General features: G+C 47.1%; 1 protein-coding gene across 27 annotated transcripts in view, besides 3 other annotated features; it reads right to left on the bottom strand.

The window, feature by feature from the left end:
- ZSCAN25 (zinc finger and SCAN domain containing 25) overlaps positions 1 to 17,470 on the bottom strand; it is a 121,090-nt gene extending 103,620 nt beyond the window's left edge. For 3 of the 27 annotated variants that reach the window (XR_927402.3, XM_011515909.3, XM_011515910.3), the window contains exons 1-7: positions 17,400 to 17,470; positions 15,765 to 15,891; positions 15,284 to 15,368; positions 14,423 to 14,855; positions 12,842 to 13,043; positions 11,776 to 11,867; positions 10,236 to 10,359 (exon numbers count right to left, since the gene is read on the bottom strand). Coding sequence is in view for 23 of the 27 variants with exons in the window: in XM_011515909.3 (XP_011514211.1) it covers positions 10,236 to 10,359; positions 11,776 to 11,867; positions 12,842 to 13,043; positions 14,423 to 14,809 (805 nt within the window). In the remaining 4 variants the exon portion in view is untranslated. Of the gene's footprint in view, positions 1 to 2,007; positions 5,226 to 10,235; positions 10,360 to 11,775; positions 11,868 to 12,841; positions 13,044 to 14,418; positions 14,856 to 15,283; positions 15,369 to 15,764; positions 15,892 to 16,206; positions 16,282 to 17,174 lie in introns of those variants that run through there. The other 24 variants (XR_007059990.1, NM_001350985.2, XM_047420020.1 and 21 more) reach the window with 20 other exon arrangements.
- Positions 3,933 to 4,579: an enhancer, noted in NCBI's record as "H3K4me1 hESC enhancer chr7:99227460-99228106 (GRCh37/hg19 assembly coordinates)". NCBI's record gives its function as "activates a minimal SCP1, AML or CMV promoter by ChIP-STARR-seq in naive H9 embryonic stem cells {active_cell/tissue: H9 hESC(naive)}" and the evidence as "EXISTENCE:reporter gene assay evidence [ECO:0000049][PMID:30033119]".
- Positions 17,345 to 18,324: an enhancer, noted in NCBI's record as "H3K27ac hESC enhancer chr7:99213715-99214694 (GRCh37/hg19 assembly coordinates)". NCBI's record gives its function as "activates a minimal SCP1, AML or CMV promoter by ChIP-STARR-seq in naive H9 embryonic stem cells {active_cell/tissue: H9 hESC(naive)}" and the evidence as "EXISTENCE:reporter gene assay evidence [ECO:0000049][PMID:30033119]".
- Positions 17,435 to 17,754: an enhancer, noted in NCBI's record as "active region_26327". NCBI's record gives its function as "activates an Ori minimal core promoter by ATAC-STARR-seq in GM12878 lymphoblastoid cells {active_cell/tissue: GM12878}" and the evidence as "EXISTENCE:reporter gene assay evidence [ECO:0000049][PMID:35858748]".

The following is a 23,370-nucleotide window of genomic DNA, read 5'->3' as shown; positions in this document are numbered from 1 at the left end:
TCCCAAAGAGCTGGGATTACAGGCGTGAGCCACCGCACCTGGCTGAAACCAGCTTATTTTTTAAGAAACAAAGGTTCTCCTTGCCTCTCAGCTGGGATAAAACAGGTACTGAAAGTATTTTAAGCATAATCAGCCTGCAGACAACACCCATAGCACACACTATGACATGGACCAAACTTTCTTGATGAAATATTTCCCCAGGACAGACCTTAGGCAGTTACCTGGTTCTACCACCACCCAGGGGAGAAAACAGAGTTTCTCTTGCAAAGGACAACAGCCTCCCTCATTACCCAGCAGCACGGCACATGCAGCCAGACACTGAAGGTGTACAGCATCATCACAATGTGAGGCAACCACAGATGCCTTGTCATACAAAAGGAGGCCCATCTATGAGTTGACCAAATACCCGTTTGACCTGGAGAGTCCCGGTTTACACCACTGTCCCAGCATAATAAATAGCACCCACTTTCACTCTCAAAAGGGGCAGGAAATACGGAACATTTGCCTGGAACATCTTGTCATGCCAGAAAGCAAAGAAGCTGTCAATGAGAATTAGGGTTATGTCAAAAGGATTCAGGAGCCAAGGTCCAGGGGCCTCCACTGGTCAAAGGTGAAATAATTTGAGCATCAAATTATAACTCCAGCAGACTGATCAATACCAAGTATGTTTAAATCCATGAGTGCAGGCCAGGTGCAGTGGCCCACACCTGTAATCTCAATACTTTGCAAGGCCAAGGAAGGGGTAGCACCTTAGCCTGGCAGTTTGAGGCTGCAGTGAACTACAATTGCACCACTGCATTCCAGCCTGGGTGACAGAGCAAGACTCTGTCTCAAAAAAACCAATAAAAGCAAAAAGCTATGAATGCATTGATTTCTACAGACTTGACTGCCTTTACAGGAAGCAAAAAGTAACTAGCTCATTATTCTGAAAACAGGCAAATAAAGAGGAGGATCAAGCATTTTCTTGCCTTCCCTGTATGAACTATATCTAAGGGTAACCTAAGTTAATGAAGGGAAATTTCTTACAATATTCCAACTACTAAATGATGAAGCATTTACAGAACTAACGAAAGAAGCAGATCTAGGCTTCTAAAATCATATGAAGAGAAACAGGGCATGTCACAATCTATAATGTGTTCTTGCCAAAATGTGAAATATGAATCTGATTACACCACTAAACACTTCTACATTTTTAGATAATACAGAAGGCAGGGAAATATGTTAAATCACGCCATGGGTATGCAAACAGAAAATGCAGAATGATTAGCTGGGCATGGTGGCACATGCCTGTAATCCCAGCTACTTGGGAGGCTGAGGCAGGAGAATCGCTTGAACCCGGGACAGGGAGGTTGCGGTGAGCTGAGACTGTGCCACTGCACTCCAGCCTGGGCAACAGAGCGAGACTCCAGCTCAAAAAAAAAAAAAACAACAGAAAATGCAGAATGTAAAAAACTCTCCAGGATAAATGATCGAGTTTTTTAAAATGAATAAATCTCAAGAAGAAAAGGATAAGTACTACAGATTATAAGCCTTAAGAGACAAAGCAACAAATTATATTATATTGAAAAATTAGGTGGGTTCTTAAAATTCACTGGATATTTTGACATTAAGGAACTGTTTTGTTTTGAGACAGGGTCTTGCTCTGTCTCCCAGGCTGGAGTGCAATGGCACAATCAGGGCTCACTGCAACCTCAACCTCTTGGGGTCAAGTGATGCCCAGCCTCAGCCTCCTGAATAGCTGGGACCACAGGCATGCACCACCCATGCCCAGTTAATATTTGTTTGTAGATGAGGTCTCACTATGTTGCTCAGGCTGGTCTCGAACTCCTCTCAAGCAATCCCACCTTGGCCTCCCAAAGTGGTGGGATCACAGGTGTAAGCCACCACACCCAGCCGCCCTTACCTTTTACAGGTACACACTGAAATGGTTATAAACAACACTTGGGATACACTTCGAAACTTCAGTGGGGGAGGAAGACGGGGAGGAAGGAGTGGACAGAGATGAAACAAGATTGATTATGAGTTTATAATAAAGTCAAATGATAAATACATAAGGATTTATTTATATAGGTTTGAAATTATCTATTATAAAAAAATTTCTAAAGAATAGAAAAATACAGAAAACAAAATATTTCTTAACATTTGAATAGATATGAAAAATCAGACTACCACAATCCCATGGGAAAAACCCCCTACTTAGAGGCTTTTCTGAGACACTGTCCTAAGCTCTTGGCCCCACAGGAGATAGGGAAGAGGCCAGATAGGAAAGTCAGCAAGGCCCAGCTCCTTCTGAAGCTTAAGATATGCCAACTTGCTGAAACCCAGAGGAATGCTGGCTGTGTATGACAAAAGAGCATCTGTGATTCAGGTAATGACAAGCAGCCCCCCGAGGCCTCCCCAGTCCCCACCTGCCTTTGGAAAACCACCCTCTGGGGAAGGCCACACTCAGGCCAGAAGCCTCCCACTGAGTCTGCCTGGCTGTCAGCCCTGCCTAGCTGCTCTGATAATTACGGGGGAAAAAAAGCTGATTTTGCATGTGGACCTCAGTATTACAGAGGAGCAGCAGCAGCCCCGTGTGGACATCTCAGATACATTTACGACCCAGTCAGTGCAGCCTCGTGGGCACAGCTAATGAGCCAGGAAGACCAAGGAGCGTCATTTGCTAAGCCAAAATTAGACACCATGCTGCCTAACAAGAACAGGTGATAAAACCACGTTTCAAAGTGGGCTGAGTAATACAGCTTTGTGTTAGTCATTACCATTTACCTTATTTACAATGGAAAATGAAAAAAAAAAATCTCAGTAAAAGAATCTGGTATTAAGAGGCATCAGAAGACAAACCACATTTTGCAATTATAGGACACTATCAACAAAGGACAAACTCACTCACTCAGCCAGGGTTCAAAGGCACAGCACAATGACACAGCAGTCAGTCCACGCTAGTTATGCAGCTTCCAGAACTTTAAACAGAAATGAAACCCTTAAGTGATGGCACAATAAGGAAGCTTCAACAGTTTACAAATATTGCATCTTCTCATTTTTAAAGAAATGTATTTTTTTTTAATGCCTACAAATATCTTTATTTTTCCTGACTTGGCACTCATGCAAAACAGGTCGCTACCAGCTCATCATCCCCAGTGGGTGTCCAGGACCCCTAGTGCCTTGGATGACAAGGGTCTGGAGGGCAGAGACCATTTAGTAACAAGAGGTAGGTGACAAATGCATTTCAGGGCAAGATGCTGACAAAGCAATGAATACAGGCCCAGAGGATTTGCAGGAATATCCACGGGTTCTGAAGATCAGGTACATCCACGAGACATAAGCTCTACGAGGTCAACAGCTTCTCCCCCTATTTTATTCATGGATGTGTCTCAAGCACCCAGAAGAGTTCCTGACATGTTTGTTACAGGGCCTCAATAAATACTTGGGAAATGGGTCCAATGAGAATGGGGTGAAATTAATTTTATGAACTATAAAGTGCCATCAAATATAGGGCATTAATACTAGAGTTCATCTTTCAGACTCATTTTAATTATAACAGTTCTTTCTAGAGAACTGTTTTTTAAAATACTCTGATGTTTATTCAGTGATCAATAGCAAAATACTAACTTCCTAATAGTTGGTGTGTTGACAGTTGTTATAGTGCAAGGAATAATGGACGGGGAAGTTTTACAGATGAGGATAGAATGTTATAGCCTGACACAGATGAGGCTCCAAATAATGTAAAATTCACACAGTTGCCTGGGAGCAGATCCCAGCTGGGGAGGGAAGATCCAGCACGGGGCAGGAGGGCAGGAGTGGTCATGGGAAGATGTTCTCACGGGCACACAGCACAGATACCCTGAGAATGCCTCGGGTCATGGGCTGTCGCATGCATCCCCAACGCACAACCCCCAGAGGCATCACGTCTAGTCTCTCATTCACCACGGCATTCCCACGGCCAGGTGCTCAGAGGATGTTCAATAAATGTTTGTTCAATGGAAAAGAGAGGGGGTGGGGGAAGAGTCTGAGCTATGACCCTGCAGGCAAGACAGAGCCCTCAGGAAGATGAGGTCCCAGCTACCAACACGTGTCAAGGTTTTGCCTTTACTCCCAGCTTTGTTCGGCAGGGGGACACAGACAGTCCACTGAAGGAGAAAATCTCAGCCTGAACTGAACCGCAGGAGACTGCTTCCCTCAAACATTGGAAGAAAAATTGTTTAGCACCACTTGGGTAAGAGATGGAAGCAGCTATGCTCTCTGGAAGCTCTAAGTAAGCCAGGCCTTGCCTTTCCCGCGTTGGCGAATGGGTGGGAAGGCGATGGGACCAGTGCTTTCCTGCAGCCATCACCTTGCACCCCGCAAGGCCCTGCAGTGAGAAAGATGAATGATGGTGCTGCCTGCCACCTGCTATGCTCACTGCACCAGCGGCTCCTGGCGGTGCTGGGTCTTCTGGTGCCGGTTGAGGATGGACCTCTGGTTGAAGCTTCGCCCGCAGGCAGGACAGTGGTAGGGCTTCTCCCCTGTATGGATTCTCTGGTGTCGGACCAGCCGCTCCCCTTTGCTGAACCGCTTCCCGCACACCTGGCACCCATATGGCTTCTCGCCAGTGTGGGCACGCCGGTGCACCGCCAGATTGGCATTCCTGCTGAAGCTCTTGCCACACTCGCAGGTGTAGGGCTTCTCCCCGGTGTGCGTCCTCCGGTGCACCTGCAGGTGCTGCCTGCGGCTGAAGCTCTTCCAGCAGTCCCCGCACTTGTAGGGCTTCTCCCCAGTGTGGCTGCGCTGGTGCACCTCCAGGTGGTGTCTCTGGCTGAAGGTTTTCCAGCACTCGCTGCACACGTAGGGCCTCTTTCCCAGGTGGGTTCTCTGGTGCTTCATCAGGTATTCTCTCAGGGTAAAGCCCTTCCCACACTCCACACAGCCATAAGACTTCTCTTCGTGGGTTCGCTGGTGCCTGACGAGATTGGAGCTCCGACTGAATCCTTTCCCACACTCAGGGCACTGGAAAGGCTTCCAGAAGGAGCTGTGGGTTTTGACTTCGTCAGGCAGGGGGATGGCACCGTGCTGGGGAGGAGGAAGCCCAGGCGCACTGCCTGCAGGGCCACCAGGCTCCTGCTCACAGACCCTTCCGAGCCCAGGGCCCTGGAGAGAGGCTTCCCCAAACCTCTCTGATGTCAGTGCCACCAGCGCCCCTTTCAGGTCTTCCTGTGGGGGTTTTGCCTCCTTTTCCTTGCTCCCACCGCCTACAGGACAGGAGGAGATAAAGATTGATTCTGTGGTAGCCGCAGGACATTTACATGTTAGAACTCTGCTTCACAGGGGTCCCATTCATGGTTCCTTCTCTTTTTTCCTTTGACCAACAACCTCAACTCAGGCTTTCCTTACTTCTTTTTCCTTATTTCCACCTCCATGTCTTTTTACAGAATAGTCTGCCAAATTCCAGTGCCCGCCCACTTATCTTGCTGCTAATCTAGACCTTTACTTCTTACAAAATGTAGCTCAATAATTTCCTCTAAGACACTCACCACGATTATTCTCTTACTCTGGGCCTCTTCAGCACTGTGCACCTAACTAGCACTTTATTATTCTGTACCTATTTACATGTGACTTTGTTGGAAATGCTGTTTCCATTCATCCAGATGTCCTGCGCCTTCCCCAAACGATTCTACACCTGCTGTAGCACAGGGCAGCACACAGCTCTCCAGACCTTCCAGGTGCCTGCTCAGTCCCCTGTCCTGCCCACATGCTCCCTCTGCCTAACCAGGTTCATTCATCTGGGTCTCCTAGGAGCCTGGCAGGGGACTGACTCAGGGAAGATGCTTGCTAACTGCTGGCTGAATGAATGAAGCAGGCTTCACTGAGGCTCCTGCAGGAGAACGCCCCTAGGTAGCATATTTATCAGGACTGAGACCATGACGCTGCTGAAATGCTCAGCTTCACCCTTCCTTCATCCTCACTCTGATCCTTCTTATATTCTCTCTAAATTAACGGAACAGGTGTTTATGGAAGAGTAACAGAAAGGGGAGGAGAAAAAAAGAAAAGAAAAGGTATTGGGGAACAAAGAGGCAAAGAGAAAAAAAGAAAAGGAGAAATAAGTGGTGCTTAAAGCGGAAGAGTCCTTTTAGGCAAGATGACTAGAAGACAAAAAAAACCTGACAGTATATGCCTCCTGGTTTGATAAAATATGAAATACATACTTATCAGCTTGGATTTTGTTTTGTAAACTTTTCATGAAAATAAAAGTGTACAAGCCATTTATGTTTTGTACACGCAAAGATTTTATTTTTATTTTTTTGGATCCAGCGCTGGCTAAAAAATGTCACGTTACCCTTTTTTTCCTTTTTGTGGAGATGGGGGCCTCACTATGTTGCCCAGGCTGGTCTCGAATTCCTGGGCTCAAGTGACCCTCCTGCCTCTGCCTCACTGAGTGCTGGGATTACAGGTGTGCGTCACCACACACTATGCAAAGAATTTTCTTAACGAACCCAACCACGTAAACAGCATTCAGTTCAACAAACAGAACATAACCAGTCCCTAGAAGCCCCTTTTACATCTCCTCCATCACTATACCCTGCATATATATACTATACATATACAGTATATACATATACAGCATATACATGTATACAGTATATACAATATACATATACAGCATATACGAGATATACGTATACAGCATATACGATATACGTATACAGCATATACGAGATATACGTATACAGCATATACGAGATATACGTATACAGCATATACATGATATACGTATATAGTATACATATATACTATACCAACGGGAACACATTGTCTGGACTTTTTTGCCTGTTCTTGAACTTCAGGTAATTGTCTCACACATTGTTTCTGGCTTCTTCTACTCAATATCATGTTTGTGACGTTCACCTATATCATGGTGTGAAGCTGTAGTTTATTCTTTTTCATTGGTATACAGTATTCCACTGAGTATATGTATGTGTGTGTGTGTATGTATATATAGATAGATATACAGATACAGATAGACTGCAACCTACTTATTAATTTGACTGTTGTTCATTTGGGTAGTTTTCAGTTTTGAGGTGTTATGAATAGTAAGATTAAAACTAAATGCAATGCACAAACCACAACTAGATCTTGGGGAAAGCTGACTATGCACTAGATGTTACATATATCGAATTTATGTTTATTTTCTTAGATGAAATTATGCTACTGGGCTATGTTGGGAATGTCATTGTTAGACAAATGCTGAAGTATTTACAAATGAAAGATTGAGATGCCTCCAACTTCCATATCATTCCAAAACAAAACACACATTATACAGCTAAATATGGCAAATGTTAACAATTGGTGAATGTAGATAAAGACCTAAGTGTGTTCCCTGTACTAGTCTTAGCTTTTCTGTATGTTTGAAAATTTGTATAATAAGAGTTCAAAATATAAAGCTGGGGGAAAAATAAATACAATGATACCTAAGTATAAACAGAGACACTGGGAGAAAGACACAGTAGTGGAAGAGAAGGGACCTAGCAGTGAGAAACCCGTTTTGAGTGCTGCACTGGCTGCTCAATTGCTGTGTGATCATGGGAAAATCAATTAACCTCTCTGAGCCTTACATTCACCACCTTCAAAATGGATTGTACACTCATGAAGTTTACTGCACACATGGAGCAGGAATGCAATGGTTCATGATATTATTTTAACTCCCAGACCATGTACCTGACTTGCAGCTACTTCCAGGGACCATCCACTTAGATCTCAAAGTCAACAAATGGAACTTTCCATTCTTCCTCCCTCTTAGGAAAATGCTTCCCTCTCTTTCTGACAGTAGTAACATAATTTTTCCAGGCCCTTAGCCAGGATCCTAAGACGTAGACTCCTCTCTGACTCTTCTCTTTCCTCCCCTCTGGCCAATCTGTGGCCCATCCTTGGAAGCATATTTCAGTAAACCCCCTTCTACATGACCACTGGCCTGGTTCCTGCTCTTACCCCAGTGCCTACACTATTTCAACCCTCCAGACTGGCCGTACCCTGCCGTCAATCCAATTTTCCTCAAGTAAAACCTCCATCACATTACTCTGCGCAGAAAAAATTTTTAAACAAGGACCCAGAGTCCTCACGGACTCCTCAGCGGCCTCACTCTACTCACTCCTGCCTCCTCCTTACTCCTCTGAGCACTCATCTTTCACTCCAGGACCCTCACCATCCTGGGAACCAGCCTGCAGAGTCCTGCATTCAGGTTTCTGCACCTGCTACTTTTTGCCTCTGTGATTCCAAATCCTGTTGTGAGTTCTTGCTCCAGTCCTTGTGGACATTACTGCAATTACAACCCAGACAACAAGGTCTGCACCTCACCGTCTGCTAATGAGAACAGACGAACAACTGGAAGTGATCTGGGCAGCCACCTAGCTCAACCCTGCCCTGTGCATTCAGTCTCTTTACAGGTGAAGCAGCTCAGGCCCAGCCCCAAGCAGCTGTCAGTACAAGCACCAGGACAACCCGAGTGTGAATCCCAGGAAGACCTGAAAGCTGGGACAGCAAGTGAATGGTACACTTGGGAAACAGGCCTTCGTGTCACCTGGCGGCAGAAATGTTCAGGTATGGGCTTGAGTTGCTCTGAGTTCTGAGACACTGAGCTGGTGAGGGGACAAGGACAGAACCAGTCTCCAGAACAGTCAGAAATGGCCAGGAGAGCATGAAAATCTTCTGAGAATGGGGGCGAGGGGCTCCTCACCCCACACAGCAGCATCACTGGGAGGGGAATATCCCTGAGGGGGACCCTGGCACCAGGACACTGGCACCTTTGTCTGGGGCTCATCACTCGAGCCCCTGCTTTGTTCTGTCATCCTCTGCCGTTACAGCAATCACACATCTCCACATAAAGTATGCTGACATCTTTCTGCCACTTGCATCACTGCCACACTGTGTCAACCGTGCCCTGGACCCAGGTCTCCCAGGAGACCAGTGCCCCTTACCGTATCCCACTATTACATGCACATGGCCTCTTCCCCTGAACTCTAAGACCCCACAGGCAAGCGCCTTTATTTTTAACTCTTCATAGTGACCAGAACAGCAATGGCCACAGAGCCAAGTCCACCTCTGTGGTGAATAAATGAGTGAAGGCTGAGGGCTCCTACAAGAATCCCTTAGTAATACTTACAGCACTAACTAAACAATCTAACACTACCATGGTCACCACACATTTAGATATGTCACCTCCCTTCATCCTCATGGCACCATGAGGACAGGTTCCATGAACAGCCCCATTCCACAACAGAGGAAACTGAGACCTGGAAAGCTCAAGGGAGATGCTCAAGGTCAGGGTCAGCAAGTGGAGGGGCAGGATGGATTCTCTTACGTCCTGAAGGAAGCACAGGGATAATCTTGCTCTTCCTTCAAGGCATTTCAGGATAAGGAAAGGCTAGGTGGGGTCGGTACAGATGGGTGGTCAGTGTACAACTCACAAAGAAGTTATGAAACAAAAAAGAAGAAAATCAAAGAACAAGGACAGGCCGCTCCAGCCACAGTGTTTCCTCTCCCCGCCGGCATCCTGATTCCACGCATGCAGACTCTCCATACTGTCCCTTGCCCTGGCAGCCCCAAAGCCCCGCAGTGCGCTCTGCTGGCAGCCCCTGTGGGCTCTCTCTCGCTGCTCCTCCTCCCATGAGCTGCTGTCACACACAATGGCCGCATCCCCCCAGGCTCTGAGCCCAGGTCAAACCCAGCCACCACCTGAGTCCCAGCGCAGCTCTGCTTCCTCTGTGACTCGGGCCACTCCAACCTCTCCCATCGCGAAGCCCCCTCGTGCCCTCCTACGTGCACACCGTGAGCTCCAACGCTTTCGTGCACGTTAGTCCTGCCCACTTCCTGCCGCAAGAGAAAACCACTAACACAGGGCCCACATGCAGGGAGCACTCAATAAATATCTGAACAAGCTCAGATGCCCCATCTTTTGCTGTTCGTATCTTGTTCTCAAGCCCTCAGTGTCTTTAATCATGGACACAATGTAGGTGTTTGGGGGTCCTCATGACCGACCTGTCTCCATACAGCCAGAATAATGGCCTCATGTTTTCCTGCTCCATCATTTGGCTCCTCTATTGACACAGGAAAGCAGCTCCTCGTGCCCCATGGTCCGTGCTGGACCCATTTACCCGCCTGCCATGAAGTCCCCTTCCTTTGCCAGGAGCGCCAGAGCTACGGCAGGACCCCTGACCTGAGCTTTCAGAACTCCCCAGTTCCTCACCTGTGGGTGGAGACAGTCTTACCTGGAGAGACCCTGCAGTCCTGCGGTTCCACATACTCCCCAAAGCAGTCTATCTGGGCTGGGGTCACATGCCTCCACTCCTCCTCAGGGAAGGCCAGGGCCATATCTTTAAATGGCCCCAACCCCTGCAACAATAGGAGATTGCTATGAATAAAGAAAGAATCCTAGGCCAGAGACAGTGGCTCATGTCTGTAATCCAACTTCCTCCCAACCAGCTTCCTCCCAACAGTTGAATGGGAGTAATCCACTTGTTTGAGCCACTGCAGTTGTGAGCCTCTGTGGCTGGGGCTCAGCTTGCCCCTAACAACTAAGTCACCTCATTTCCACTCTGCAGCAGCCTCCCACTCACACCTCATGCTTGACAGAGCCTGGCAGCCGCTATTTACCTTCTCATCAAGAACAAAGTTCACATTCGGCCAAGCCCTGTCTTAAGAACAAGGCTGTGATAAAATAAATGCATCCTCAATTTCTCACTCACTGCACCACGAAGAACTATTATGGTACAAGGGAGGATCCAACCAAATTAAAAAGCACTGATGTCATTCCTCATCCCCTCCAAAGTACATCCTTGGAGAACAGGAAAAGGGAAATGATGCTGGCATCCAGCCTTGCCCAAATACGGCTTGAGCAGGACCAGACTTGATCCCCTTCTTTTTTCTGCCAAACACCTTTTCTTCTTCAAAGAACTCTTTTAGACTCGCCTCCTTGAGGAAGGTGCCCCACTGGAAAGCCCCCACCTCCCTGCTACTAGTGCTCAGCACCCTGTGGAAAAGAGAGCACCCCATCTATGCTTCAGTTACCTCATTTGTGGCAGATGAGTAATGTTAACGAGGTCCAACTCCTAGTGTGGCCTGTATGGCCAAAGAGACCACCCTGCTCAATGCTTCTGAAAGCCCCAACCCTGAGTCAGCCACATTCCTGCTGAGGTTAGGGGACAGGAAAGTTTCCAAAACAGAAAAATCAGCAGCAGAAGTACCCATAAACGGCACCCACAAAGGGTTATCTCGGGGCCAATCAGCACAGCCTAGATAGCCCTAGGGGGTTTCTATCTGTAACAGTTGTAAGAGTCCATCTGTGGCTGGGCGCGGTGGCTCATGCCTGTAATCCCAGCACTTTGGGAGGCCGAAGTGGGTGGATCACAAGATCAGGAGATCGAGACCATCCTGGCTAACACGGTGAAACCCCGTCTCTACTAAAAATACAAAAAATTAGCCAGGCGAGGTGGCAGGTGCCTGTAGTCCCAGCTGCTTGGGAGGCTGAGGCAGGAGAATGATGTGAACCCAGGAGGCGGAGCCTGCAGTGAGCCAAGACCGTGCCACTGCACTCCAGCCTGGGCGACAGACATAAGGTTCGATGTAAATTAACAACTGCGGCTGATGGTTCAGTGGAGGAAACCACACCATCAGGTCCACCGGGACTAGGAAGGGAGAATGACTCAACTTGGGGCGGGAAGGGAACACTGTTGTGCAGAGAAACCTTGGGGAAGGTGAACCTCAATCAAAGCAACGGTCATGATTTCTGCAAAGGGAGTCAGAGCTCACCTGCGATCCAGCAGTAAAGAACCCAGCTGCCATCTCTTGGTCTCTGGGATTCACTGCGGGGAGGCCAGGACCCGCCTGCAGAACAGGTAGTGCTGAGCAGGGACAAAAAGCATGAGAAAGATCAGAAGGATCAGTGATGTTATGCTGTTAGCTCGTTCAAATGTGTCCCCTACCAGATGCTCACAACCTCAGGAACCAGAAGACTCCAGACAGAATCCCTTTTCACTCTGGTACCACACTTTCCCATGCACAGGGGCCTGGGTGTCCCTTGCCCTATTCTCAGCTGGGGCCTGGGTGTCTCCTGTTCTCAGCTGGCAAGATTGTCCCGGCCCTGTCCGTCCAGGGCTACCCATGCTACCCAGTCACACTCTGGGAATAACCTCCTATGAGATTCAATAACAAAATAAAGCTACGTGGGCTGGGCGCGGTGGCTCATGCCTGTAATCCCAGCACTTTGGGAGGCTGAGGTGGACAGATCACGAGGTCAGGAGATCGAGACCATCCTGGCTAACATGGTGAAACCCCGTCTCCACTAAAAATACAAAAAAATTAACAGGGCATGGTGGCACATGCCTGTAGGCCCAGCTACTTGGGAGGCTGAAGCAGGAGAATTGCTTCAACCCAGGAGGCAAAGGTTGCAGTGAGCTGAGATCGCGCCACTGCACTCCAACCTGGGTGACAGAGTGAGACCCCATCTCAAAAAAGAAAGAAAGAAAGAAAGAAAGCTACATATTACTTTGGGGGATATGGTTTATCTGCCTACTGAAAAAGTATTCCTGCAAGTCAGCTGAATATTTCTTGGTAGTTTCTAGAAGGGATCTGAGGGAAAGAAAAGAGAAATAATAAGAAAGCATGATCCCAGATATCCCCTCCAGACACCAGAGGGTAAAGGGAGAAGAAACAATTTCACTTCATCTATTTCCTAAGGTGGAGGAAGTAGCCAAGAAAATTCACAATTACACCTCGTGGGTAACTTAGTTGCTCCATTGCTGGGTTTCTGAAGAGAGTTGGCTGCACAGCACTGTTTCCTATGACCTGACATCCCCACTATCTGCGTCTTACTCACCTTGCTCCTGGAAGGCCCGTGTCTCATCTCCAGGGTCCTGACTGAGCTGCTCCTCGGTACCTGGGTCTGGACCTTGAACTCCTTCCCCAGGGGGCATCCCCCATTCAGGCTTGACCTCCACTGGCCCCAGCTGGATGCCTGGCTCCCAAGCGCCTCTGCAAAGTGCTGTTTCCTCCTGCTCTCCCTGCCTGTGGCATGGAACCTAAGAACAGTTCCCAACACCGATTAGAATGAGGCCTGGGCAAGGCTGTTATGAAGGGAGTTGAACTAAAATCTAAAAAGAGAACCAAGAAAAGAACCATTCCAGCTTCAGGGGAGAGGAAGGAAAAATCAGCTGAGCTCTTCCCCAGGACATTAGTGAGGAAGTGAAAAGGAAGCTAAACTCATGCATCAGGCCCTGAGCAACTTTTATCTGTCCACGCCATTTGACAAGGGTCCCCTCTACCTGCCATCACCAAGCCCAAATATTATCCTGCTGAGGATTTTAACACAATATACTCACTACTAGAAAAAAAAATTCCTAATTGAAAAAGCTGAAAATAAAAAATGCAAAGCCTAGACCCTGCAGTGAACAGGCCAGTGAGAAATAGTTGCTTTAAAGAGAGCCAGGAAGCCTGGGCAACATGGCGAGACTCCATCTCTACAAAAAATAAAAAAATTAGCCAGGCATGCATGCCTGTGGTCTCAGCTACTCAGGAGGCTGAGGTGGGAGGATCAACTGAGCCAGGAGCTCAAGGCTGCAGTAAGCTAGGATTGTGCCACTGCACTCCAGCCTAGGCTGTTGACTGACCCTGTCTCAAAAATAATAAATTAAAAAGAGCAAGAAAAATCAGGAGGACTCTCTCACTGAGAAGTACTCACAAAAACAAGGCATTTCTGGGTCCACTTTTAAGCTCCTGAGTTGAGTAGGAAAAAATTCTCTTAGGATTCTGAAGACAGGAAGTCAGGGTGACGAGAGTGTGCACGGGAGGCTGAACTACAGAAGGACGGGGGCTTGTGAGCAAGACGGTGTCATCAGTCCTGCTCTCCTTTCCCAGTCATCCATCAGGGGGCTGTACCACAAAGTGACCGAAATATGGCTGGAACCTCAAGGAAGCACGTGCGGTGCCAAATCACTTGGTGTCATTAGAGCAGCACCAGAGAATTGTTACAGGAGCCCTATGAGCCACAGAGAAACAGTACTGCCATGGACAACCCTTTTCCGGAAAAATATTCCCCAGGTGGGATTCTCTGCCTTCCCAGAGGCATCTCTGTCCAAAGCAGGGTCAGGTCTATGAGGGACCCCAAAAACAATCACAACTGCCTTCTTTTTGCCTGATGCCCACAAGGGAAATATGGCCAGGCCTCTGCCCTCATGACCAAACAGAGGCTTCAGGCCCTTCTGCATGGCAGCATCTCCCCTGGGAATGGCCTTTCTTGCTGAAAACGCCACTGCTCTCCAAAAAGAACCTCAGGGAGTCTGAGGGCAGAGGAGGGCGGCTCCACACCTCGTCCACTCCTACTGCTTCCTCAAATCTTTGGATTCTTTAACATTCCCTGCCCACGCCAAGGGCGCCAGACCTGGATCCCCTCCTCACCCACCGCCTTGGCCTCCAGTGCTCTTTCTGTCAGGTCCTCCACCATGGCGGCCAGGGCCTTGCCACTCTCTGGGCCATGCTCCCGGATCCAGGCGTAGAACTCGCGGGGCAGGATAGTGAGGAACTGCTCCAGCACCAGCAGCTCCAGGATCTGCTCCTTGGTGTGCAACTCGGGCCTCAGCCACCGACGACAGAGCTCCTGGAGCTCCCTAAGAGCTTCCTGGGGTCCAGCTGCCTCCTGGTAGCGGAACTGCCGAAACCTCAGCCGAAAAGTCTCTGGACTAGGGTCCTCCCTTCCTCTGCCCCATGGCAACTCTTTCTCCAGTTTCACCACAGGAATACCCAACTGCTGCTGAGGAGCTTCCGCCATCTCTGGATGCTCTTTAAGCATCTTCAGACTCCCTCCGAGGAGACTGAGAATGACTGCATCAATGACCCTTTTGAGAACAAGAGACACATGAAAGGTCAGCCCATCCCAGTTCTGTCTCTACATCAAGGAATATTCCACTGGAGAACACAGTAATTACCTTTTACAAGGCATTTTCAAAAGACTGAACACAGATCCCAAAAGTCAGGTCAATTCAACATAGTAATCATTTGCTAAGCAACTATTAGGTACAGAGACTAAACAGAAAATGTCTAAGATTTTGCTTTTATACCCACAAATAACTTAGGATCTCACTGGAGAATAACACTACAATCAGAGAATAATATATAATGGGTTATAACTGGGTGAGTCACCAGGGCCTACTCTTCCAATACTAAAGGAAACATACATGCAACACACAAACACACACATATACACACACAAGAGGCAGGCAGAAACAACAAATAAAATAGAAAACAAGACACACTGGGAGCTTACCCTCCTGAAACTCATATGCTGGTACAGCAGACAGAAAAAGTCAAATGGAAGCAACTCTTTTAAAAACTGCAAGTGGAGACAAGTTCTAGAAAGAAAATAAGTAGGGTGCTCTGTTAACAGGGGGCAACTGACTTGAAGAAGGCTTTTCTAAAGACATGATACCAGGCTGACTCAAGGATGAGAATGAGTCAGTCATTCTAAGAGCATTCCAGGCAAAAGCCCTGAGGCTAAGAAATTACTCTGGGTGTCCAAGAACAAGCCATATCCCAGTGTGGCTTCAGCAGTGACGAGCAGAGCTGCACCAGAAGAGGTGGCAGAGGCAGACAGAAACCAGATCACCCAGAGCCTGCGCCACAGAAAGAATTATGAACTTTATTCTTATTTCTTACTTTAGCGAGGAACTACATGTTTTATAAAAGTCATTCTGCCTGTGTGTTGACAGGGAATAGGCTAGAGGTGGCAAGAGGGAAATGGCACTTACAGTGATTCAAGCAGATGATAAGGGCTTAGATCAGGGTGGTGGCAAAGAGTCAGACAAAATCAAGACGTATTTTGGAGATTAAAACCAACAAACTTGCTGATGGCTTAGATGTGATGGTGCGCTCAACCTGAAAAAGACAATGGAGCAACATATATACCATTATGACAAATGACCTAAAGATTTCTAACTTGTACAGGCTTTACTCTTTAGAAAGCATGTGAACACATATTTCATCTAATACTTAAAACACTTCTGTAGGATGAGTGCTACTCCTCCTACTTCTCAGAAGAAAAAAAAGAGACTAGATGATAACTGCCTCCCAAAATACATGGTACAGATTGAAAAAAAAATGTGAAGTCAAAAAGAGAGAAAACTAATCTAAGTCCAAGTACTCAAGGAAAAGAAGAGGCTTGAAGTAGACTGGAGAATGAGTCCTATTTACCTCCAAGTGGATTATGCGGAAGACCTAGACTGGGAAGACAGACTTGGAAGTCCAAAGCACCAGGGGAAGGAGATCCTGCTTGTCAGAAAACGGAAAGATCACCTGACTGGAGCAGAGAATGGGCAGCTGGCAGGAGGCACACCCCAAAGCTTCTGCTAAATATTCTATTGTGAGTTTGTGTATTTATCTACCCCCACTTAAACCAAGTTTATATTTTCAGTCTATTCATTGACTCTGCAACATTGAGATTTCTCTTTCATTCCTTTCTAGCTATTGCATTGGTTCACTCCACTAGTGCATTTAATGCACTACAGTGCAAATGTTTACCCATGTGTCTCCCTCTAACAGATTCCCTGGAGGCAAGAAAGATCCTCATTCATCTTTTATCTCTGCCATTTGACAAATAGAAATTGCCCCATTGCTATTCTTTATCTCCCCCCACCCATTGTGACTCTTTTGTTTTGTTTCTGAGACAGGATCTCAGGGTTTTATCACCCCAGCTGGAGACCAGTGGTGCGATCACTGCAGCCTTTGCCTCCTAGGATCAAGCGATCCTCCCACCTCAGCCTCCCGAGTAGCTGGGACTACTGGCGAGTGCCACCATGACCAGCTAATTATTTATTTTTGTAGAGACAGGGTCTCCCCATGTTGCCCAGGCTGGAGTGCAGCGGCATGAATGTAAGTCAGTGCAACCTTGAACTCCTGGGCTCAGGCGATCCTCCTGCCTCAGCCTCCCGAGTAGCTGGGACCTCAGGCGCGTGCCACCACGCCCGGCTACTTTTCAATTTTTGTAGAGACAGGGTCTCGCTATGTTGACCAGGCTGGCTCATCACTATTCTTTAAATAAGTGTCCTATGTGATTACTTTCACTTTGCACAGAGTTCTGCTTTGGTTCAAGATCTCTTCGGGTTCGTGGCCAGCCCTGCACTAAGCCAAGCCTGGCAGAGCGGGATCAGCCTCGCTCCTACCTGAGCCTACAGCGCGGCGGCCCCTCAGCGTCCAGACCCGCAGGGCCTCGGGGCCGCTGAAGGCAGCTCCTGAGAGACTTGCCGCCCTCAGCCGGGGCTGAGCGGAGGGAGACGGGCTCTACTGCAACCCCGCTGCCGCCGAGCCCCGTAGCGGCACCAAAACCCGTCCCCGCGCCCGTTTACCACTTCGCCCGCCACCCGCTGCGGCCCTGAAGAGGCTCTCACCCGCCGCGGCCCTGAAGGGCCTCTCACCCGCTAGGGTCGCCAGTGCTATCCGCGGTCCGGAAGTGAGCTGCGGACGCTGTTAGACAGGTGCGTAAGGAAAGACTCGCTTCCGTGTCCTCTCTAGGATGCTCGGAGGTCTCGGCGGATGCGTCTCGATGGTTGCTGATCCCAGCCTGCTGTTCCGAACCCGGCGAGGCGAAGACCACCAGGGCTTCCCCAGGATTGACTGCCCAGCTCGAGGCGCTCTGTGGCTAGGCCCCTTCCACTTCCGTGCCATTTCACCTGCTTGCCCTCCGTGGAAAGGACTCGGTGCATCGCCAGATACACTACTGGACACAGCACCTGCCCCAAGGGGCTTTAGAGTCCAGTCGGTCAATGCGCGACTATTCCGGCTGCGAGGGCCTTGCGCGAGGCGTAGGGGCAGAGGAGATAGGGGGCGCACTGGATCTAACCGGCTCACTTAAGAGGCTCCTGACCCCGGGTAGTGTGCGTGCGTGTGTGTATGTGTAGTCAGGGAAGGCTTCCTGGAGGAGCCAGCATCGGAGCTGTTTTTTGTGGGGGGTTTTTGTTTGTTTGTTTGTTTGTGTTTTTTGAGAAAGAGAGAGAGAAGTCTTGTTCTGTCTCCCAGGATGGAGTGCAGTGGTGAGATCATAGCTCACTGCAACCTCGAAGCCCTGAGTTCAAGCAATCCTCCCACCTCAGTCTCCTGGGTAGCTGGGACTTTTTTTCAATTTTTTGCAGAGAGGGGGATCTCTCTATGTTGCCCAATCTGGTCTCCAACTTCTGGACTCAAGCGATCTTCCCCCCTTGGCCTCCCAAAGTGCTAGGACTGCAGGCGCAAGCCACCGCGTCCAGCCTGAAGGCAGTCTGTCTCAACTGGGTGGCCCAGTGTTACTCCAGAATCCACTCAGGAAACAGGAAACCCTCTTGTCTTACTCTTCTCCAGCACTTTGCAAAGTGTCTGGTACAATATTTGCTAAAAATATACACTTATAGAGTAAATGAACTCCTAGAATATAACATAGGTGTTAGACCATCTCACTTTATCCTCCATGTCTCTGTCCCACTTTCATATTTTTCTTGTCTGCCCATATTTGACTTGGGTTTATGTCTTCACCTTTTTATTAATAATCCACTTTTCAGCTGTTTCTAATGTGCTACAAAATCCACAGTTGTTGTTTTTTTGTTTTGTTTTGTTTTGTTTTTTAAGAGACGAGGTCTTGCTGTGTCACCTAGGCTGGAGTACAGCGGTGCTATCATAGCTCACTACAGCTTCCAACTCCTGGGTTCAAGCAATCCACCTCAGCTTCCCAAATAGCTGGGACTACAGGCATGAGCCACCACACCCAGCTAATCTTTAAAAAATGTTTTGTAAGGACAGGGTCTCACTATGTTGCCCAGGCTAGTCTTAAACTCCTGGGCTCGAGCAATCCTCCCCACTTGGCCACCCATATTTTTGTTTTAATTAATATATTTTTTCCATTTCTAGAATTTCTATTTGATTTTTTCCAAATATTCTAGATCGATCTTTTAAAAGAATTTACCGATATGTTTAAGCTTTTCTTTGTACATAGTAAATATAGTTGAGCCTGATAATTCTGAGATCTGAAGTCCCCTCAGATATCTTTCTGTGATCTGCTATTTCCACTGTTTTTGATGGTGCCACTTCCACCAGCAGTACCTAACAGCATCCATTTCCCATATCTCATCATCTCTGCCATTATCCAGCTTTAATTTTTGCCAATTGACAGGTGAAGTAAATGTTACCTCATTTTTTAATTTGCATGTTCTTCATTATAAGTGAGGTCAGTCATTATTCCTACTTTCATTAACTTCTTGCCTTCCCTTTTCTGTGAACGGACTTTTCTTTGTGTTTCTATTAAGCTGTTTATCTCTTTCTTATTGATTTATGAGTTCTGGGGACATTATATAATGTCCCTAGAGCATTAAATAATGTCCCCAGGACATTAATTGGGGGCATTCCTCAAACATACCTTCCTCGAACATACCACAGTACCTTGTTTCCTTGTGTGACAGGCTGCTCATTTTCCTTGGAAACATTTTTGTGAAATTTCTTTGAGTTCCAGGATAAAGTGAATTTATCTAGAGAGGGTTGATATTGTTTTTCTTCCATGTAAATTTTTTTCTTGTCAGCATCACCAGTCCAAGGTCATTGTAAACCAAATTTATAATTTGAGGATTTTTGAACCATGCTATAATAGTAATATGAATTTGGGCTGCAAATATTGAGGGGTGATTTGTGGTTGCAACTTCTCAACCACAAATCTTTGTGGTTTTGTGGTTGTCCAGCGTGGCACTAAGACAAATTGCCTTGCTGGCTCCTGGTGGTAGGGGTACGGGAGAGGAGACTTATCTCTCACCCTTACATTGATAACCCAGCCCTTGTCTATGGCCATACCACCCTGAATGTACCGGATCTCTTCTGATAATCCACACTTTTGCAGTCCTTGGTTTATGGGGGGAAAGCTCTCTTATCAGATGCTCTTCCTTGAGTAAACTTTAGGCATAGTTTTAAAAAATCAAATCTCTGCAAGATGATTTCTCTAGGTATTATTCTTTACTTTGATGTTATCTTATAATTCATTACTATTTTGTTACCTGATATCTTTAGATTTTATTATTTATTTTATCATTTCTGTTGTTTTTGGCAGACGAATCAGCCCAACTATTTAGTCTGCCATGTTATCAGATGTAGGATGTCTCCAGGCTTCTTTATTTATATGTTTTTATTTCTTCCAAATAGGACACTTAAAATTACATTTTTACTGCCTGTATAATATTCTGTCCTCTGAATACACTATACTTTTAAAAATTATTTCAACATGGGGGAAATAATCTAGAATATACTCTTTTATTTTTGCTATTATAAATAACCTGGAACAAGCATTCCTTTGTATAAATACTTAACCTCACCCCTGGTTATTTCCTTAGAATAAATTCCTAAAATTCAACTTCTGGGCCACCAGGTATGAATATTTTTAAACCTATTAATGCATATGCTATTATAAAATGCTTTCCAGAAAGTTCATGCCAATTTACATTCCCATCAAATGTATATGAGAGTGCTCAACTCACCAAAATTGGCTAAGACTGGTTTCTAATCTTTGTGGATTTGATTTTCATTTAATTTTTTTTATTTGACCACTTTTATAGGGCTTTAGTAAAAATTCTTCCCAAGTTCTGGCAATAAATCCATCATCAATCCTAGCTTTCACTGGTGGCATGAATTTCCATTCTTTGTGTGTTTGTTTGAGACAGAGTCTTGCTCTGTCACCAGGCTAGAGTGCAGTGGCGCTATCTCTGCTCACTGCCACCTCTGCCTCCTGGGTTCAAGCGATTCTCCTGCCTCAGCCTCCCAAGTAGCTGGGACTACAGGTGTGCGCCACCATGCCCAGCTAATTTTTGTATTTTTAGTAGAGATGGCATTTCACCATGTTGGCCAGGATGGTCTCGATCTCTTGACCTCGTGATCTGCCCACCTCAGCCTCCCAAAGTGCTGGGATTACAGGCGTGAGCCACCACGCCTGGCCGAATTTCCATTCTTTTCTGGTTATTTATAGGAATTTGGGTGAGAAGATGGGGGAGGTGAGTCATGGACTACTGGCCTATTCTAATTCTAAGCTGAAATAACTAAGTCAGGCTGATTCTTAAATCTTTCCCTCTACAGGCCCCAATGCCCTTTCCATGTCTTCCACCCCTCCCCAACACACATCCCACCATGTTTGTTCTCTATTGCATTCATAGCCATTCCCTCTTAGGGTGGGTCCTTCTCAGGCATCTGAGGGTTGATATTTGCTAATGATTTGAAATTTGCTACCCCTGGAACCCCTATATGTTCTCTAATCTGCCCTACTGTGCCCACCAAGCCAGTCTCCCATCTGTGGCTTCCCAAACTGGTTATGCTGGATTAGGGTGGTTTGGGCCACAGATACATAAGTTGGAGTTTGTAGATGTTCTCTATTCCTAGTTTCACTGACAATTACAGTTCCTATGGTTTCTTTTTTAAGATGGAAAAGTGAGACAATTTGGAACTAGGCTGTAATCGTATCCCTATAAGAAACTCCCAAGATACCTTTTGGAGAGAAATGTAATAAGAAATTCCAGGCTGGGCGCGGTGGCTCACGCCTGTAATCTCAGCACTTTGGGAGGCCAAGGTGGGCGGATCACGAGGTCAAGAGATCAAGATCATCCTGGCCAACATAGTGAAACCCTGTCTCTACTAAAAATACAAAAATTAGCTGGGCATGGTGGCACACGCCTGTAGTCCCAGCTACTCAGGAAGCTGAAGCAGGAGAATCGCTTGAACCAGGGAGCCGGAGGTTGCAGTGAGCCTAGATCGTGCCACTGCACTCCAGCCTGGTGACAGAGTGAGACTCTATCTCCAAAAAAAAAAAAAAAGAAATTCCAAAAGAATTGGTTGTTCAAGTGTGTATGTCTTAGTTCCTCTGCTTGGGTGTTTGCTTCTAGGAACAGGGACAAATTCTGAAATCTCTTTGTACCCCAAGGTGTACCACATGAGTTCACCTTCAATGAATGCTGTTTAATCACCAGGGAGTCCATGTGACTCTAGCCATGTCCATTGTATCTCCTCTCCCAAAAGACATCCACAGCTCCCTGCACTTGCTTTAGAAGTTGCACTGCTTAAGTGCTAAGAGCTTTTTCTGCACATTTGTTCTTTGGAGAGAGAAGTGGGAAGCCATTGGTAGGTGGTATCTTTGAGATGAAGGATGGAGATTCATATGGTTTGGCTTTGTCCCCACCCAGATCTCATCTTGAATTTGTAGCTCTCATAGTTCCCACGTGTTGTGGGAGGGGCCCAGTGGAAGATAATTGGATCATGGGGGCGGTTTCCCCCATATTGTTCTCGTGGTAGTGAATAAGTCTCATGAGATCTGATGGTTTTATAAGAGGTTTCCCTTTTTGCTTGGTTCTCATTATCTCTTGCCTGCCACCATGTAAGACATGACTTTTGCCTTCCACCATGATTGTGAGCACCCCCCCGCCACCCTGAGCCACATGGTACTGTGAATCCATTAAACCTCTTTTTCTTTATAAACTACCCAGTCTCAGATAGGTCTTCATCAGCAGCGTGAAAACAGACTAATATAGAGATGAAGCCAGTGGAGGGCTTGGATCACTGTTCTAGCTGCCCCACTGCCCCACACATGTGTTCTTCCCAGCTACACCCATTCTTGCTAGGAGGCTGAGTGCTCCCTGTGATGCAAGCACCATAGGGCTGTGAATGGAGCACACTGGAGGAGCACTCGGGAGGCCTCTGGCTATAGGGAAATGATGGAATGCCAGATATATTGATTGGCTAATGTGCAGTCCTAATTATGGAAAAGGAGTCAGGTTGGTGTGAGGAGGGGAAAGCAAAAAGAAGAAGCAGATAAGCTACAAGTCGGCCTTTCTTCATGGTCCAGGACACGTAGCCCTCCTGTGCAAATAACTCACAATCTTCCTGCGCCCAAGCTATCACCAGACACCTGCAAGTTAGCTCACTGCAACACTGGCATTATCAGTACTGCACAAAGCCCTCTTCAGCATACAGCATAAACACTATGCCATCAAATCTCCAACAAGTCTTTGTTTCCTTTCAGTCAGCTCCTCTTCTGCTGGTCCTGCCTGTTGCTCCCTGGCAATGTACTTTTTTTTTTTTTGAGACGGAGTTTTGCTCTTGTTTCCCAGGCTGGAGTGCAATGGCGTGATCTCGGCTCACTGCAACCTCCACCTCCTGGGTTCAAGCAGTTCTCCTGCCTCAGCCTCCCGAGTAGCTGGGATTGCAGGCATGCACCACTACACCCGGCTAATTTTGTATTTTTAGTAGAGACGGGGTTTCTCCATGTTGATAAAGCTGGTCTTGAACTCCTGACCTCAGGTGATCCACCCGCCTCGGCCTCCCAAAGTGCTGGGATTATAGGCACGAGCCACCACGCCCAGCCCGGCAATG

The sequence above is a fragment of the Homo sapiens genome, chromosome 7 (genome assembly GCF_000001405.40).
Source record: "Homo sapiens chromosome 7, GRCh38.p14 Primary Assembly".
In the NCBI taxonomy this organism is placed as follows: domain Eukaryota; kingdom Metazoa; phylum Chordata; class Mammalia; order Primates; family Hominidae; genus Homo; species Homo sapiens.
Note: the sequence above shows the minus strand (reverse complement) of the source record. Positions and strands in the feature narration are given on the sequence as shown.